The sequence below is a fragment of the Homo sapiens genome, chromosome 19, assembly GCF_000001405.40.
Source record: "Homo sapiens chromosome 19, GRCh38.p14 Primary Assembly".
Classification (NCBI taxonomy): Eukaryota; Metazoa; Chordata; class Mammalia; order Primates; family Hominidae; genus Homo; species Homo sapiens.
In genome coordinates this window covers 46,569,380-46,588,190 of record NC_000019.10, presented here as the reverse complement: position 1 = coordinate 46,588,190, position 18,811 = coordinate 46,569,380, and the positions used below count along the sequence as shown (strand labels likewise).

The window sequence follows — 18,811 nt, the reverse complement described above, 5'->3', positions numbered from 1 at the left end:
ACCTACCAGGGTTGGGGGGTGGGGTGCTTCCAGGTCACAGATAGATAAGAGACCAACAGTTGCATTCTTTTGAGTCTCTGATAAGTCTTTCACTGAATACACAATTTATATGTGAGACGCCATAGAGGAGTAGTCACTTATGCCTGAGTCTCGCTTAGTGAATCTGCATTTTTACATAAACAACTGGGCAGAGGAAGCCATCAGATATGCATTTGTCTCAGGTGAGAAGAGGGATGGCGTTGGGTTCTGTCTGTCCTTTGTCCCCCATCTGTGAAGATAAGGTATCAGTTATCAATTTACATTGCCAGGGTGAAATTCAACAGAACTGTTTCAGGATAAAGATCTTGAGGCTCACAAGAAATTTCCTTTCTGACATATTTTGAGGGAACTGTGTAGCTTTTTAAATTTTTGTAGTTATCTTATTTAGGAATAAAACAGGAGGCATGTTTGCCTGATGGATGTCCCATCTTGACTTTTCCCTTTGGCTTAGTGATTTCTGGAGGAGATTTATTTTCCTTTCACAAAGGACATGAAATTACCCTGCTCTGATCATCATACATTTTCTTTATTGAAATATCACTATGTTTCCCATGAATATATGCAATTATTTGTCAACAAACAAAAAACCCAAACAATCAAAATGTATTGTCAACAGAAGATTTGTAAGAGTAACATTCCCTTGTCCAGGGACCATGGAGGGGGAAGATTTCATTTGACTTGGGTAGTGGCCACCATTTTAATCCATCCATTTAATTTCTTTTTTTTGAGACGGAGCTTTACTCTTGTTGCCCAGACTGGAGTGCGATGGCGCGATCTTGGCTCATGGCAACCTCCACCTCCCGGGTTCAACCGTTTCTACTGCCTCAGCCTCCTGAGTAGTTGGGACTACAGGTGCCTGCCACCACGCCTGGCTAATTTTGTATTTTTAGTAGAGACAGGTTTTCTCCATGTTGGTCAGACTGGTCTTGAACTCCCGACCTCAGGTGATCTGCCTGCCTTGGCCTCCCAAAGTGCTGGGATTACAGGTGTGAGCCACCGTGCCTGGCTCATCCATTTAGTTTCTTTAATGACTAATGATGTTAGGTATATATTTATGTGCTCCTTGGCCATTTATATATCTTCTTTGGAGAAATGTCTACTTAGATCTTTTGCCCATTTTAAAATTGAGTTATTTGTCTTCTTGCTGTTGAATTGTAAGTGCTCTTTATATATTCTGGAGTCTAGACACTACTTATCAGATTGTATCAGATGATTTGCAAATCTCCCATCCTGTAGGTTTTCTTTTCACTTCATTAATAGTGTCTTTTGAAGCACAAAATTTAAAATTTGATGAGGTCTAATTTGTATGTATTTTTTTATTGCATGTACTTGTGATGTAATATCTAAGAAGCCATGATGTCATATCTAAGGTTACAAAGATATACAGTCGTGCACCATATAATGACATTTTGGTCAGTGATGGACCACATACATGATGGTGGTCTATAAGATTATAATACTGTATTTTTACTATACCTTTTCTATGTTTAGGTATGCAAATACCCATTGTGTTTCCATTGCTTACAATATTCAGTAAAGTAACATGCTGTACAGGTTTGTAGCCTAGTAGCAATAGGTTTTATCCTCTAGCCCACGTATTCAGTAGGCTCTACCATTTAGGTTTGGATAAGTACACTCCATGATGTTTGCACAATGATGAAATCACCTAACGATACATATCTCAGAATGTATCCCCATTGTTAAGCAACGCACGACTATACATCTATGTTTTCTGAGAGTTTTCCAGGTTTAACTCTTAACATTTAGGCCTCTGATCCATTTCAAGTTAAGTTGTATATGTGGTGTGAGGCAGGGGTCCAACTTCCTGTTTTTACCTGTGGATATATAATTGTGCCAGCACCATTTGTTGAAAAGGCATTGAATTTCTTCATTGATTTTTTTGGCACCCTTGTTGAAAATCAGTTGACTATAGACATATGAGTTTTTAAAATAGACTCTCATTCCTCTGTGTTTATGTAAGTACCAAAAATCTTGATTACTCAGCTTAGTAGTAAGTTTTAAAATTGGGAAGTGTAGGTCCTCTGACTTTGTTCCTTTTCAAGATTATTTTGGCTATTCTGGATTCCTTGCATTTTCATATAAATTTTAAAATCAGCTTGTCAATTTCTACAAAAAAGGCAGCTGTAATTTTGATGTGGATTGTGTTGAATCTGCAGTTCTATTTGGGGAATATTGCCATCTAAACAATATTAAATCTTCCAATTCATAAACACAGAGTGTCTCTCCACTTATCTATGTCTGTTAACATTTATTTTGATGTTGGTTTTGTGCATTATAGTGTAAAATTCTTACAAAGTCTTCTTAAGTTCATACCTAAGCCTTTTATTCTTTTTGATGCTATTACGAATGGAATTGTTTTCTTAATTTTATTTTCAGACTGTTAATTGCTGATGTATACAGAAATACAACTGATTTTTAGATATTGATCTTGTATTCTGAAAAATTGCTAAAATTGTTAATTAGCTCTAGTAGTTGTGTGTGTGTGTGTGTAGATTCCTTAAGACTTTCCTATGTGTAAGATTATGTCACCTGCAAATAGAGTTTTCCTTCTTCCTTTATAGTCTGAATTTTTTTTTTTTTTTTTTTGAGACAGAGTCTTGCTCTGTCGCCCAGGCTGGAGTGCATGCAGTGGCATGATCTCAGCTCACTGCAACCTCCATCTCCCAGTTCAAGCAATTCTCCTGCCTCAGCCTCCCAAGTAGCTGGGACTACAAGCATGCACCATCACGCCCAGCTAATTTTTGTATTTTTAGTACAGACAGGGTTTTGCCATCTTGGCCAGGCTGGTCTCAAACTCATGACCTCAAGTGATCCGGCTGTTTCGGCCTCCCATTGTGTTGGGATTACAGGCATGAGCCACCACGTCTGCCTGGATGCTTTTTTTTTTTTTTTTTCCTTGCCTGACTGTCCTGGCTAGAACTCCCAGTACAATGTTAAATAGACACAATAAGAGTAGACATCTGATCATGTGCCTGATCTTAGGGGAAAGGTTTCAGTCTTTCATAATTAAGTATAATGTCAGCTGTAGGTTTTTCATAAATGCCCTTTATTAGGTTGAGGAAATTTCATTCTATTCCTAGTTTATTGAGTTTTAATTTTTTATCATGAAAGAATGTTGGATTTTTTGTAAAATGCTTTTTTTTCACCTGCAGAGATGATCATGTACTTCTTGTTCTTTAGTTTGTTAATATGGTTTATTACACTGATGAATTTTCATGTCTTGCATTCCTAAAATAAATCTCACTTGGTCATGGCATATAATCCTTTTTATATGTTTCTGGAATCAGTTTCGTAGTATTTTGTTGAGAATTTTTTTTTTTTTTGAGATGGATTATCTCTCTGTTGCCCAGGCTGGAGTGCAGTGGCATGATCTTGGCTCATTGCAACCTCCAACCCCTGGGTTCAAGCAATTCTCTTGCCTCAGCGTCCCAAGTACGTGGGACTACAGGCATACGCCACCACGCCTGGCTAATTTTTGTATTTTTAGTAGAGACGGGGTTTTGCCATGTTGGCCAGGCTGGTCTTGAACTCCTGACCTCAGGTGATCCGTCCACCTTGGCCTCCCAAAGTGCTGGGATTACAGGTTTGATTCTCTGCGCCTGGTGGAGAATGTTTTTATCTATATTTATAAAGGATATTGGTCTCTTTTTGGTTTTCTTTTTTTACGATGTGTTTGATTTTGGTATCAGGGTAATATTGACCTCATGGAATGAGGTAGGAAGTGTTCTCTCTTGTTCTATGTTTCAAAAACATTCGTGAGGGATTTGTGTTGATTCTTCTTTGAATATTTGGTAGAATTCACCAGTGAAACCATCTGATTGTGGACTTTTCTTTGTGAAAACTTTTAAAATTACCATTTCAATCTCTTGTTATAGGTGTACTCAGATTTTCTATATTTTTCAGTCAGTTTTGATAGTTTGTGTCTTTCTAGGAATTTGACCATTTTACCTAGACTATCTAATATGTTGGCACGCACTTATTCATGGTATTCCCTTATAAGCCTTTGTATTTGTGTAAGGTCAGTAGTGATGTCTCCTCCTTCATTCTTGACTTTAATAATTTTAGACTTTTCTTTTTTCCCTTGGTTAGTCTAGTTAAAGATTTGTCAATTTTGTAGATCTTTTCAAAGAACCAAACTTGGTTTGGTCGATTTTCTCTTGTTTTTCTTTTCTCTGTTTCATTTACTTCCTTTCTAATCTTTATTATTTCCTGCCTTCTGCTTGCTTTGGGTTTAGTTTGCACTTCTTTTTCTAGTTTCTTAAGATGGAAGATTAGGTTATTGATTTGAGACCATTTTTCTCTTTCAATATAGGCAATTTGCAGCTGTAAATTTTCCTCCAAGCACTACTTTAGTGTATCCCATATGTTTTTGTATATCATGTGTTCATTTTCATTGATCTGATTTGTCTTTCACTTAAAAAACTTTTTTTTAAACTTTTCTTTTTATTTTTTAGAGACAGGATCTTGTTCTGTTATCCAGGCTGGAGTGCAATGGTGCAATCGCAGCTCACTGCAGCCTCGAACTCCTGGCCTCAAGCAATCCTCCTATCTTGGCCTCCCATAGTGCTGGGATTATAGGCATGAGCTACTGCACCTGGCCTTATTCTTAGATATTTCAATTTTATTTTTTTGACAGAGTCTTGCTCTGTCGCCCGGACTGGAGTACAATGGTGTCAGCTCACTGCAACCTCTGCCTCCTGGGTTCAAGCGATTCTCCTGCCTCAGCCTCCTGAGTAGCTGGGACTACAGGTGCATGCCACCATGCCCTGCTAATTTTTGTATTTTTTGCAGGGATGGAGTTTTGCCATGTTGGCCAGGCTGGTGTCAAACTCCTGACCTCAGGTGATCCACCTTCCTCAGCCTCTCAAAATGCTGGGATTACAGGTGTGAGCCACTGCGCCCGGCTGGTATTTCAAAAACTTTTGTTGACAATGTTAATGGCATCCAATTTCCACAACTTTAAAGTTGTGGCTCTTTGTTTTTTTTTTTACATGGAGTCTTACCCTGTCGCCCAGGCTGGAGTGCAGTGGCGCGATCTTGGCTGGCTGCAACTTCCACCTCCTGAGTTCAAGCAATTCTCCTGCCTCAGCCTCCCAAGTACGTGGGGATTACAGGTGTGTGCCACCATGCCCAGCTAATTTTTGTATTTTTAGTAGAGGCGGGGTTTCACCATGTTGCCCAGGCTCATCTTGAACTCCTGACCTCAGGTAATCCACCTGCCTCAGCTTCCCAAAGTGTTGGGATTACAGGCGTGAGCCACCGCGCCCAGCCAAGATGTGGCTTTTTATAAGTTATCTTCAATTCAGCCAGGGTGACCCGGTTGGAACAGCTAGTGCCCCTATAGGGGCAGGCACTGATGGCACAGATGGAGATAGATGCTGGCCACAGAGGGCCTGAGGCAACAACAATACTGGGTTTTACTCTGGATTCTGCTCTGGCTCATACACCACCAGGTCTCAGGCTTCACCTAACCTCTACTACTACTACTTATTATTATTATTATTTTTTGAGATGGAGTCTCGCTCTGTTGCCCAGGCTGGAGTGCCGTGGCGCCATCTCTGCTCACTGCAAGCTCTGCCTCCCGGGTTCATGCCATTCTTTTGCCTCAGCCTCCTGAGTAGCTGGGACTACAGGTGCCTGCCACCGCGCCCGGCTAATTTTTTTTGTATTTTTAGTAGAGATGGGTTTTCACAGTGTTCGCCAGGATGGTCTTGATCTCCTGACCTCAAGATCTGCCTGCCTCGGCCTCCCTAAGTGCTGGGATTACAGGCGTGAGCCACCGTGCCCGGTCCTGTACTATATATTATTTTTATACCAATTTTACAAATGAGGAAACTGAGGCTGCAGCAGACAAGGAATACATAGATAGTGACCAAGGAATACATAGATAGCTGGAACTGGGACGGTGGCCTACCTGGCCCCAATGTCTAGGATCTTGACCTTCGTGCTATGTCTAGGATCTTCTTCCAGAGCTAGCCATGAGTTATCTAGAGATCTTTAGTAGTTATTTAATAAAAGGCAGGTCCAGCCCATGGATCCTTAAATATCCCCCAAAGAGACACCTTCTCTCCAAGTGACCCTCTTGTCCCTAAAACTATTATTAGATTCTTGGATTCTTAGAGCTCCAAGGCCAAGACCTTGCTGGGTCTTCACCCTCCCATCCTCTGCAGTAAAACATCCCCCTTTTCCCAGAGAGTGGGCAACGAGGGACCAAGTGGGATATTCCAGTCTACCCTACACTGCCTTTGAGAGTATGTCAGATTTTACTTTCTACAGATAGCGACAATAATATCTCCTATTCCACATGCTTCTAGAATCAAGAGATGGGGTCTATGTCTCTTCCCTTGAGCTTGAGCAGTCCCTACTGCCTTGACTAATAAAGTGGAAGCGATGATATGACTTCCAAAGCTGGATCATACAAATGCTATGCATAGGCCAGGCATGGTGGCTCATGTCTGTAATTCCAGCACTTTGGGAGGCTGAGGTGGGCGGATTGTGTGAGCCCAGGAGTTCAAGACTAGTCTGGGCAACAAAGGGAGACCCTGTCTCAAAAAAAAAAAAAAAAAAAAAGACATGCCTTGTTCTCTTAGAATGCTTGCTCTTGGAATCCAGCCACCATGTTGTGAGGAAGTTCAAGGAGCCAGAGGAAAGGATCATATGAATAGGAATGAGGTCCCAAGCTCACACTTCCCAGAAAATAGCTAGGAAAGTAGTTGTCTTCTTCAAAGCAGATTCTGATGCTATTCAGCTAACACCTTGCAGAGCAGAGAACTGTCCCTGACAAACCTCTAAACTGCAGATTTGTGAGTAAAATAAATAATTGTTGTTCTTTTAAGTTGCCAGGTTTGGGGGTGATTTTTTATTCTCTTAGCAATTTTCAAGAGTAAAATACATTCTTGAATATTATAGTATAATTAGATAATTATAGAATAATTATAGTTGTAATTAACCATAGTGGCCATATTATACAATAGATCTCTTGAACTTATTCCTCCTATCTAATTAAAAATCTGTGCCCTTAGACCAACATCTCCTCAACCCTCCACCACCTATAACCATTACCTTTCTACTCCCTATTTACTTTAACTTTTTTACAATCTCCATGCGAGTGAGATCATGTGGTATTTGTTTTTCTTTGGCTTATTTGGCTGGCTTATTTCTGGGTTATTTCACTTACAGTATCCTCCAGATTTGTCTATGTTGTTGCCAGGAACAAAATTTCCTTCTTTTTAAGGCAGAATAGTACTCCATTGTGTCTATGTACCACATTTTCTTTATCCATTCATCTGTTGATGGCAACTTAGGTTCATTCCATATCTTGGCTATTGTGAGTAGTGCTGTAATGAACAAGGGAATACGGAGATCTCTTTGACATACTGATTTCATTTCCTCTGTATGTATATTGAGTTGTGGGATTGCTGGATCTTGGGGTGATTTGTTATACAGCCATAAATAACTAATACAAAAAACGAAACAGCAAATCGGAAAATGGCAGGGCCTTTACTTGGGCCCAGAAAGCACTTACTGCATTGAGTCAGGCCCACACCCATATCCAAAGCTGGTCTTTCTAAATAGTCTACTGGAGAAGAGTAGAAGCTTTGGAGCCAGGCAAACACGAGTTTACAAACCTGGCTCCAATACTTCCCAGCTGTGTGACCTGGGGCAATATAATGGGCCTCTCTGAACCTCAGTCTTCTCTTCTGTGAAATGGGCACAATCGTAATTTTTCTCCCAAAATTTGTCAGGAGGATTTAGTGGGATTATACATCCAAAGTACTTAGCCCAGAACATAGCACTTGATGAGAGCTCAATAACTGTTAGCCATGAATCACCCTGATTATTAGATAGCTGGATGTTGGATGCCTCTTGCTGATAAACCCAATCAGTCCTGAAAAGTCTCTCTTGAGGGTGGATTGGGAGCCTTTTGAGTCCCGCCACATTCCCTCTACGCTGAAGTTCTCTGCCTACTGTCAGAGAGACCTGGGTTTGAATAACTCATAGGTCCTCCAGTTTATGTGTGACCTTGGGCAGGAGACTAAACCTCTCTGGTTTTGGAATCCTCATCTGTAGGTAGGGCAGTCATAATTCCCCACTTAAGGGGTTGTAGTGAGCATGGAGAATGTAGAGGGGATAGAACAATGTCTGGTACACAATAGGAGACCATGACGGGGGCTGAGAGCAGGAGGGGCCATCCTCCCATCCTTGGTAGAATATCCAGGGATTTCTGTCCCTAGTTCTGCCCTCCACTGCAAGCCTGGCTATTTGGGGTGGTGAACCCTCCAGAGAGGAAGGGAGGGAAGGGGGTCTCCTAGCTGGGATAGCCCTGCTGTTCTCTCATTACCCACCAGTGGGCGCTCTGATGAAGTGAAGATGACAGCCGACCACAACCGCGATGCCCACAGCTACCACCATTTATGTCTATCTGTGCGTGGGGATGAGTGCTTTGATTCATTTAAATGAGACAGGACTCTCAATGTCTTTGTTTTTTTGAAAAAATCTAGCAGAGTCACAGGCTTTTATTTCCATTATGTTTGTGGGAGAAAAGTGCCAACGATCGTCTTCTGGTTTAGAGAGAGAAAACCTACAGTCATTTCTTCCTTTTAATAATAGAGAGATGATGGCTGTCACCATGGCAACAGATGATCAGGAAGAAAACCAATCAGAATTGCAGGCTTCTCTGGGAGATTATTTTTCTCAAGATTGGCAACAATTTCTAGGAGAATCTCACAAGCCTCTTTTGTTCCAATTATCTTTCCAAGGACCGTCTTAAATGAACAGACCAGGTGGTGACAGGAACTCAGGGCTCCTGACCGCACAGCAAAACAAGACAGGCGTTCTTGGGAATATTTTCAATTACGTTATCAGGACAGATTCTTTAGACAGTTTTATTATGCAAAACAGTATCTCTTTCAGTGTAGTTGCAGGGAAAAAATATATTCACTTCTATTTTACATTTTAAACGTTATCTTTATGTTCCTTAAATTGTTTTTTAAAAAACCCTTTTTTCCATGACTTTTTGACACTCCCTTTGTTAATGGTTGGAGACTTGCATTTTATTTAATTTTTAAATGAATTTACTTATGTTTTTAAGATAGGGTTTTCCTCTGTCGCCTAGGCCGAAGTGCAGTGGCATGTACATGGCTCACTGCAGCCTTGACCTCCTGGTCTCAAGCGATTCTCCTGCCTCAACCTACCGAGTAGCTGGGATCAAAGGCCTGCACCACCATGCCTGGCTAATTTTTAAAAGCATTTTTTTGTAGAGACAAGGTCTCACTATGTTGCTGAGGCGGGTCTCGAACTTCTAGGCTCAAGTAATCCTCCTGCCTCCTTAGCTGGTCTTGGTGGTACAATCCTGCTGCCTCTGCCTCTTGGAGGCAATCCCTCTGCCTCTGACTCTCAAAATATTGGGTTACAGGTGTGAGCCACCATGCGTGAAGCCCAAGTTATGTGACATTAGGCAAGTTACTTAGCTTCCCTGTGCCTCGGTTTTCTTGTCTGTAAAATGGGCATAAAAAAGTACCTACTGTGGTAGTTTTAATAAGTGTCTACAATTTATTTAAATTCCTCTTATACAAAGATGGATTCTGGCCAGGCATGGTGGTTCACACCTGTAATCCCAGCACTTTGGGAGGCTGAGGTGGGAGCATTGTTTGAGCCCAGGAGACCAGCCTGGGCAACAGAGCAAGACCCTGTCTCTATTAAAAAAATATATATATATATAAAATATTAAATATATATTAAATAAATATATATTTTAAAAATACATATATATATATATATATATATTTTTTTTTTTTTTTTTTTTTTTTTTTTTGAGATAGAGTCTCACTCTGTCGCCCAGGCTGGAGTGCAGTGGCGTTATCTCGGCTCACTGCAAGCTCCGCCTCCCGGGTTCTCGCCATTCTCCTGCCTCAGCTTCCCGAGTAGCTGGGACTATAGGCGCCCGCCACCACGCCCGGCTAATTTTTTGTATTTTTAGTAGAGACGGGGTTTCACCGTGTCAGCCAGGATGGTCTCGATCTCCTGACCTCGTGATCCGCCCGCCTCGGACTCCCAAAGTGCTGGGATTACAGGCGTAAGCCACCACGCCCTGCCTAAAAAAAATATTTAAAAATTGAAAAAATAAAAAGGTGGATTCCAGTTCTTGTCCTCTAGAATACGGGCAGCCCTATTGACTTGCTTCTCATGAACAGATGATAAGTGATTTCCGAGGCTAGATTAGAAAAGGTGACACAGCCACTCCCTGGGTCTCTCTGTCTTGGGATTTGTGCCTTGGGAGCTCTGAGTCACCATGGTGGAGAGACCCTATGGAGAGAGAAGGGAGCCAAGGAGCCTTTGGTACCAGATATGTAATTTAGGAAAGCTTTAAAATGATCCCACACCCAGCCACTATCTGACTGCAAACTTATTAGAGACCTAGAGCTGCCACTCCCTAGCTGGGCTGCTCCTGAATTCCTGACTCCTAGGCACTGCAAGAGATAACAAATGATGATGATAATGATGATGATGATGATTTTTGAGATAGAGTCTCAGCCTGTCACCCAGGCTGGAGTGCAGTGGCATGATCTTGGCTCACGGCAATCTCTGCCTCTCTGGTTTAAGCGATTCTCCCACCTCAGCCTCCCAAGTAGCTGGGATTCCAGGGGTGCGCCACCAAGCCTGGCTAATTTTTGTATTTTTAGTAGAGACGGGGTTTCATCATGTTGGCCAGGCTGGTCTCCAACTCCTGACCTCAAGTGATCTGCCTGCCTCAGCCTCCCAAAGTGCTGGGATTACAAGCATGAGCCACCACGCCTGGCCCATTGTTGTTTTATACCAGTGTATTTGTCTGTTTTCACACTGCTATAAATAACTGCCTAAGACTGGGTAATTTATAAAGAAAAGAGGTTTAATTGATTCACAGTTCTGCATGGCTAAGGAGGCCTCAGGAAACAGACAATAATGCCGGAAGGGGAAGTAGGGATGTCTTGTATGGCAGGAAATGAGAGGTCATGTGAAGGAGGAACTGTCAAACACTTATTAAACCATTAGATCTGGCCGGGTGCGGTGGCTCAAGCCTGTAATCCCAGCTCTTTGGGAGGCCAAGGTGGACGGATCACGAGGTCAGGAGATCGAGACCATCCTGGTTAACACGGTGAAACCCCGTCTCTACTAAAAGTACAAAAAAAATTAGCCGGGTGTGGTGGCGGACGCTTGTAGTCCCAGTTACTCGGGAGGCTGAGGCAGGAGAATGGCACGAACTCGGGAGGCGCAGGTTGCAGTGAGCCGAGATCGCACCACTGCACTCCAGCCTGGGTGACAGAGCGAGACTCCGTCTCAAAAAAAAACAAAACAAAAAACATTAGATCTCACTGTCATGAGAACAGCATGGGGAAACCATCCCCATGATCCAATTACCTCCTTCCCTTAACAGGTGGGGATTACAATTTGAGATGAGATTTCGGTGGGAACACAGAGCCAAACCACATCAACCAGTAAATCTTGGGCTGATTTGTTACACAGCGATAGATAACTTACTACGTCAGGATCATGGTAAGTGAGATCATGTATATGAACATAATGTGTATGATCATGAATATCTCGCACACAGACAATGGACTGAAAAAGAGAAATCATATTATTCTTACCATTTTCTGCTTGCTTGAGTGTTGTAGACTGAATGTTTGTGTCCTCTCTGAATTCATATCTTGAAGCCAAAACCATCAGTGTGATATTATTTGGAGGCAGGGAACTTTGGAGGTAATTAGATTTAGATCAGGTCAGGAGGCTGGGACCCCCATGATAGGATTAGTACCCTTATAGGAAGAGGAAGAGAGGCTGGGAGTGGTGGCTCACCCTGTAATCCCAACATTTGGGAGGCTGAGGCAGGTGGATCACTTGAGCCCAGGAGTTTGAGACCAGCCTGGCCAGCCTGGCCAGCCTGGTGAAAGCCCATCTCTACTAAATACAAAAAAATTAACCAGGCATGGTGGCGGGTGCCTGTAATCCCAGCTACTTGGGAGGCTGAGGCAGGAGAATCGCTTGAACCCTGGAGGCAGAGGTTGCAGTGAGCCGAGATCACGCCACTGCACTTCAGCCTGGGCTATGGAGCAAGACTCCATCTCAAAAAGAAAGAAAGAAAAAAAACAAGAGGAAGAGAAACCAGAGCTCACGTTCTCCACGTGCACACACTGGGGAAAGGCCATGGGAAGGCACAGCAAAAAGGCGTCTGCTTGCAAGTCAGGAAGCAAGGCCTCACCAACAACTGAATCTGCTGGCACCTTCATCTTGGACTCCCCAGCCTCCAGAACTGTGAAAAAATAAATGTCTGTTGTTTAAGCCACCCAATCTTTTTTTTTTTTTTTTTAATTTTTTGTAGAGACAAGGTCCCATCATGTGGTTCTGCCTCTGCTTTCCAACCTGTTGAAATTACAGGTGTGAGCCACTGCACCTGGCTGTTTTTAATTTCTTTCTTTCTTTCTTTTTTTTTTTTAAAGGGATGGGGTCTCACCCTCACCCAGGCTGTAGTGTGATCCCAGGTCACCGCAGCCTCGAATTTCTGGGCTCAAGCCATCCTCTTGTTCAGCCTCCCAAGTAGCTGGGACTACAGGCCTGCACCACTTTGCATAGCTAATTTCTAAGTTATTTTCAAAGAAAAAGGGTCTCATTTTGTTGCCAGGGTGGAGTGCAGTGGTGTGATCTTGGCTCACTCCAACCTCCGCTTCCTGGGTTCAAGCAATTCTTGTACCCTCAGCCTTCCAAGTAGTGGGGGTTACAGGCACACACCACCACACCTAACTACGTTTTTGAATTTTTAGTAGAGACAGGATTTCGCCATGTTGGCCAGGCTGATCTCGAACTTCTGACCTCAGGTGATTCACCTGCCTCAGTCTCCCAAAGTGCTGGGATTACAGGCATGAGCCACTGTGCCTGGCCTCCCAATATCATATATATCATATATATAAAATATGTATCTCATATATAATATCATATATATATATATATATATATATATATATATATATATATATGTACTTTTTTTTTTTTTTGAGGAGTCTGGCTCTGTCACCCAGGCTGGAGTGCAGTGGCACGATCTCAGCTCATTGCAACCTTACCTCCTGTGTTCAAGCAATTCTCCTGCCTCAGCCTTCTGAATAGCTGGGATTACAGGCGCCAGCTACCATGCCTGGCTAATTTTTGTATTTTAGTAGAGACAGGGGTTCACCACGTTGGCCAGGCTGGTGTTGAACTCCTGTCCTCGGGTGATCTGCCTGCCTCGGCCTCCCAAAGTGCTGGGATTATGGACGTGAGCCCCTGAGCCCGGCCTGTCACACACTTTTAAACCATCAGATCTCATGATAACTCATTCACTATCATGAGAACAGCGTGGGGGAAACCGCGCCCATGATCCAATTACCTCCCACCAGGTCCCTCCCCCAGGCATGTGGAGATTACAATTTGACATGAGATTTGGGTGGAGACACAGAGCCAAACCACATCACAGTGTGTGGCGTGGGGGTTGGGGATTCCTGCCCTAGAGCCTCCAGAAGGAGCACATCTTTGATTTTAACCCAGTGCGACCCGTGCTAGACTTCTACCCCTCAGAACTGCAAGAGAGCAAATTTGTATTGTTTAAGCCACTTAGCCTGTAGTCATTCATTACAGCAGCAAGAAGACCTGAACACACTGGGGCTGAGGACAGAGATGCACAGGGAGGGAAAGGAATGAGAGACAGAAGTGGTGAGAATGAATGAGATCGGGGAGAACAGGTGAAGATGGCAAGAGGGCCTGGGCACAGGGCAGCCACGGATCATGCTCAGGGGAGGGAAGAGGAGGTGCCTGGGGAGGCTGGCAAGAAACGGTCAGAGAGATGACTTGAGCTTGAAGGACAAAAGCCCAAGGCTGACATCTGTTGCTTGTGTGGGCAGTCAGGAGCTCCCACTTCTCAGGGATGTTCCCAGCATTGTCTCTGTGCTGATGACTTCCAGTGTGGCTGTCATGCCCAGCCCTGTGGCTGGAGCCCGGGGCCCCATTCAGCCTTGGTTGCAATTGTGTGGAAATCAATAACTACAAATTCCAAAGGTATAAATGGGAAACCTGAATGGAGAGATAAGGGCATAGGTTTCAGAGGGAGTATGGCCTTGCCAACACCTTGAATTTTTTTTGTTTGTTTGTTTTTGAGACAGGGTTTCGCTCTGCCATCCAGCCTGGAGTGCAGTGGTGCAATCATAGCTCACTGCAGCCTCAAACTCCTGGTTTTAAATAATCCTTCTGCTTTAGCCTCCCAAGTAGCTAGGACTGCAGGTGTGTGCCACCACGCTCAGCTAATTAAAAAAAATTTTTTTTTGTAGAGGCCAGACACCGTGGCTTATGCCTGTAATCCCAGGAGGCCAAGGCGGGCAGCTCACTGAGGTCAGAAGTTCAAGACCAGCCTGGCCAACATGATGAAACCTTGTCTGTATTAAAAATACAAAAATTAGATGGGAGTGGTGGCGGGCGCCTGTAATCCCAGCTACTTGGGAGACTGAGGCTGGAGAATCACTTGAACCCAGGAGGTGGAGGTTGAAGTGAGCAGAGATCGTGCCATTGCACTCTAGCCTGGACAACAAGAGTGAAACTCTGTCAAAAAAAAAAAAATTTTTTTTTTTTTTGGTAGAGAGGGGGTCTTGCTATGTTGCTCAGGCTGGTCTAGAACTCCTGCACTCAGGCTATCCTCTACCATCGATCTCCTGAAGTGCTGGGTTTACAGGCCTGAGCCACTGCACCTGGCCATGACTTTATGTTCATTTAATTAATCATATCTGCAACAACCCTGTTTCCAAATGAGGTCACATTCTGAGGGACTGGGAAAGAGGGCTTCAGCATATCTTTTTGGGAAACACCACTCAACCCATAACGCTTATAAAGAGCATTGTGTTTGTGAGGATTGTGTTTATAATGGCCCACCCAGGTACGCTAGGATAATCACCCCATATCAACAGCCTTAGCTTAATTACACCTGCACAGTCCATTTTGCCAAGTAGCAAAGCTGTTCACAAGTCTAGGGATTAGAACGTGGATATCCTTGGAGGGGGCATTTTTCTGTCTACCACGCCAGTTCTCTCTCTGAGCTCCAGGCTTGGCTAGACAAGGGATTCCTGAATGTCTCTCTCCAGATGTCTGCTGGGTACTTTCCACTCACCGTGTCCAAGTTGATCTCAGCATCTTCCCCCACCAGTCCTGTTCCTCTCACATCCCCATCCCAGGGATGACTCCTCTGTCTCTCCCAGCAGACTCATCTCCTCCTGTCCTCCTCTCATCCTTGACTCCTGAGCCAGAGAGCTGAGATTCTTTAAGCAACTCAAAGATTCATTTCTTCAGCCAACATTTCTTCCTTCCTTCCTTGCTTCCTTCCTTCTTTCCTTCCTTCCTTCTTTCCTCCTTTCTTTCTTTCTCCTTCTTTCCTTCCTTCTTTCCTTCTTTCTTTCCTTCTCTCTTTCTTTCTTTCTCTTTCTTCCTTCCTTCCTTCCTCTCTCTCTCTCTCTCTCTCTCTTTCTTTCTTTCTTTCTTTCTTTCTTTCTTTCTTTCTTTCTTTCTTTCTTTCTTTCTTTCTTTCTGATGGAGTCTTGCTCTGTCTCGCAGGCTGGAGTGCAGTGGCAGGATCTCGGCTCACTGCCACCTCCACCTTCAGCGTTCAAGTAATTCTCCTGCCTCAGCCTTCTGATTAGTTGAGATTACAGATGCCCGCCACCATGCTCAGCTGATTTTTGTATTTTTAGTAGAGACGGGGTTTTGCCATGTTGGCCAGGCTGGTCTTGAGCTCCCAACCTCAGGTGATCCGCCCACCTTGGCCTTCTAAAGTGGTAGGATGACAGGCATAAGCCACCACGCCTGGCCTTCAGACAACATTTCTTGAGCGCCTGCTAGGTGCCAAGTCATCTTCTAGGTACTGGGAACACAGCAATGAACAAATCAGACAGCAGTCCCTGTTTTTTTGTGGAGTTTTCCTTCTCATGGGGGGGACTCAGGCAGCAATAATGTAAAGACATTAAATATGTGGTTTATTATGGGTTTAAAAAGAAGCTCAGGGCCGGACACGGTGGCTCACACCTTTAATCCCAGCACTTTGGGAGGCCGAGGTGGACAGATCATGAGGTCAGGAGTTCGAGACCAGCCTGGCCAATATGGTGAAACCCTGCCTCTACTAAAAATACAAAAATTAGCCAGGTGTGGTGGCGCTTACCCGTAGTCCCAGGTACTCGGGAGTCTGAGGCAGAAGAATCACTTGAACCTGGGAGGTGGAGGTTACAGTGAGCCGAGATCGTGCCACTGCATTCCAGCCTGGGCGACAGAGGGAGACTCTGTCTCAAAAGAAAGAAAAAAAAAAAAGCTCAGTCCTCTTCCCCGACATTTTGCTGATCCTGCCTCCATGTCTCCCTCTCCAGGAGTTTGTCATCATTGCGTCCTCACCTCTAACCTGCTGGCTGGTTTTGGTACCATAGTCCCTAGCCTGGCTCCTCCACTCCTGAGCCCTGTGCTGCCCTGGAGGAAGGTGGCCACACTGAGCAACTAAAAAGATAGAAAGCCAAGTTAAATTTAAAGTTCAGATAAACAATGAGGTGTTTTTAAATAAATATATCCAAAATGTTGCATGGGATATACTCATACTAAAAAAGTATTTGTTGTTTATCTGAAATTCAAATTTAACTGGGTGACATGTTTTTATAAAAAATTCTTTTTGAAAAAAAATTTTTTTTTTCTGAGATGGAGTCTCGCTCCGTTGCCCAGGCTGGAGTGCAGTGGCGCCATCTCAGCTCACTGCAAGCTCCGCCCCCCGGGTTCATGCCATTCTCCTCCTCAGCCTCCCAAGTAGCTGGGACCACAGGCACCCGCCACCAAGCCCGGCTAATTTTTTGTATTTTTAGTAGAGATGGGGTTTCACCGTGTTAGCCAGGATGGTCTCGATCTCCTGACCTCATGATCCACCCGCCTTGGCCTCCCAAAGTGCTAGGATTACAGGCGTGCGCCACCATGCCCAGCCCAAAATGTTTTTACGGGTACAGAGTAAGTGTATACATTTATGGGATACGTGAGATATTTTGATACAGGCATGCAATGTGTAATTATCACATTAGGGTAAATGGGGTATCCCCTCAAGCATGTACAATTTCTTTGTATTACATACACCCCAAATATACTCTTTTAGTTATTTAAAATGTACAGTAAAGTATGGGTTTGTTTTTTTCTTTTTTTTTTTTAGACAGAGTCTTGCTCTGTCACCCAGGCTGGAGTGCAGTGGTGCAATCTCGGCTCACTGCAACCTCTGCCTCCTGGGTTCAAGCGATCCTCCTGCTTCAGCCTCCTGAGTAGGTGGGATTACAGGTGTGTGCCACCACACCTGGCTAGTTTTTGTATTTTCAGTAGAGAGAGGGTTTCACCATGTTGGCCAGGATGGTCTCGAACTCCTGACCTCAGGTGATCCACCGCCTCGGCCTCCCAAAGTGCTGTGATTACAGGTGTGAGCCACTGCGCCCGGCCCTAAAATGTATTGTTGACTGTAGTCACCCTGTTGTGCTATCAAATACTAGAACTTATTCATTCTATTTAACTGCATTGTTATAACTACGAACCATCCCCACTTCCCCCTGCTCCACTACCCTTCCCAGTCCCTGGTAACCATTCTTCTACTCTCCGTCTCCATGAACTCAATTGTTTTAATGTTTAGCTCCCACAAATGAGTGAGAAGATGGGACATTTATTTTTCCATGCCTGGCTGATTTTACTCAACATAATGATCTCTGGTTCCCTCCATGTTGTTGCAAATGACAGGATCTCAATCTTTGTTATGGTTGAAAAGTATCCCATTGTGGCCAGGCATGGTGGTTCACACCTGTAATCCCAGCACTTTGGGAGGCTGAGGTGGGAGGATCACCTGAGGTCAGGAGTTTGAGACCAGCCTGCCCCAACATGGTGAAACCCCATCTCTGCCAAAGATACAAGAAAAAATCAGCTGGGCGTGGTGGTGTGCGCCTGTAATCTCAGCTACTCCAGAGGCTGAGGCAGGAGAATCACTTGAACCCAGGAGGCGGAGGTTGCAGTGAGCCGAGGTCGTGCCATTGCACTCCAGCCTGGGCAACAGGGTGAGACTCTGTCTCAAAAACAATAACAACAATAACAACAACGACAACAAAACAGTACCCATTGTGCATAGGTACCACATTTTCTTTATCCATATGTCTGTTGGTGGACACTCAGCTTGCTTCCAAATCTTGGCTGTGGTGAACTGTGCTGCAACAAACATGGGGGTGCAGGTATCTCTTGGATACACTGACTTCCTTCCTTTTGGGTATATACACAGCATGGGATTGCTAGATCATATGGTAGTTCTCTTTGTAGTTTTTTGAAGAACCTCCATACTGTTCTCCAGAGTGTCTGTACTAATTTACATTCCCACCAACAGTGTATGAGGGTTCCCGTTTCTCCACATCCTCGCCAGCATTTGTTATTACATATTTTGGATAAAAGCCATTGTGACTGGGGTGAGGTGATATCTCGTTGTAGTTTTGATTCACATTTTTCTGATGGTCAATGATGTTGATGTTGAGTACCTTTTCATATACCTGTTTGCCATTTGTGTGTCTTCTGAAAAATGTCTATTCTGATCTTTTGCCCTTAGGCTTTTCCAAATATAAGATCATATTATCTGCGAATAAGGATAATTTGACTTCTTCCTTTCCAACCTGGATGCCCTTTATTTCTTTCTCTTTTCTGATTGCTGTAGCTAGGACTTCCA

The 18,811-nt window shown here is 43.8% G+C and overlaps 1 pseudogene across 2 annotated transcripts in view, besides 1 other annotated feature; it reads left to right on the top strand.

Moving 5' to 3' along the window:
* The window catches only part of PPP5D1P (PPP5 tetratricopeptide repeat domain containing 1, pseudogene), an 82,238-nt pseudogene that overhangs the window by 12,726 nt on the left and 50,701 nt on the right, over positions 1 to 18,811 (top strand). The window lies entirely within an intron of this gene.
* Positions 10,213 to 10,413: a silencer, noted in NCBI's record as "peak3525 fragment used in MPRA reporter construct". NCBI's record gives its function as "represses an SCP1 promoter by STARR-seq MPRAs in K562 erythroleukemia cells {active_cell/tissue: K562}" and the evidence as "EXISTENCE:reporter gene assay evidence [ECO:0000049][PMID:32103011]".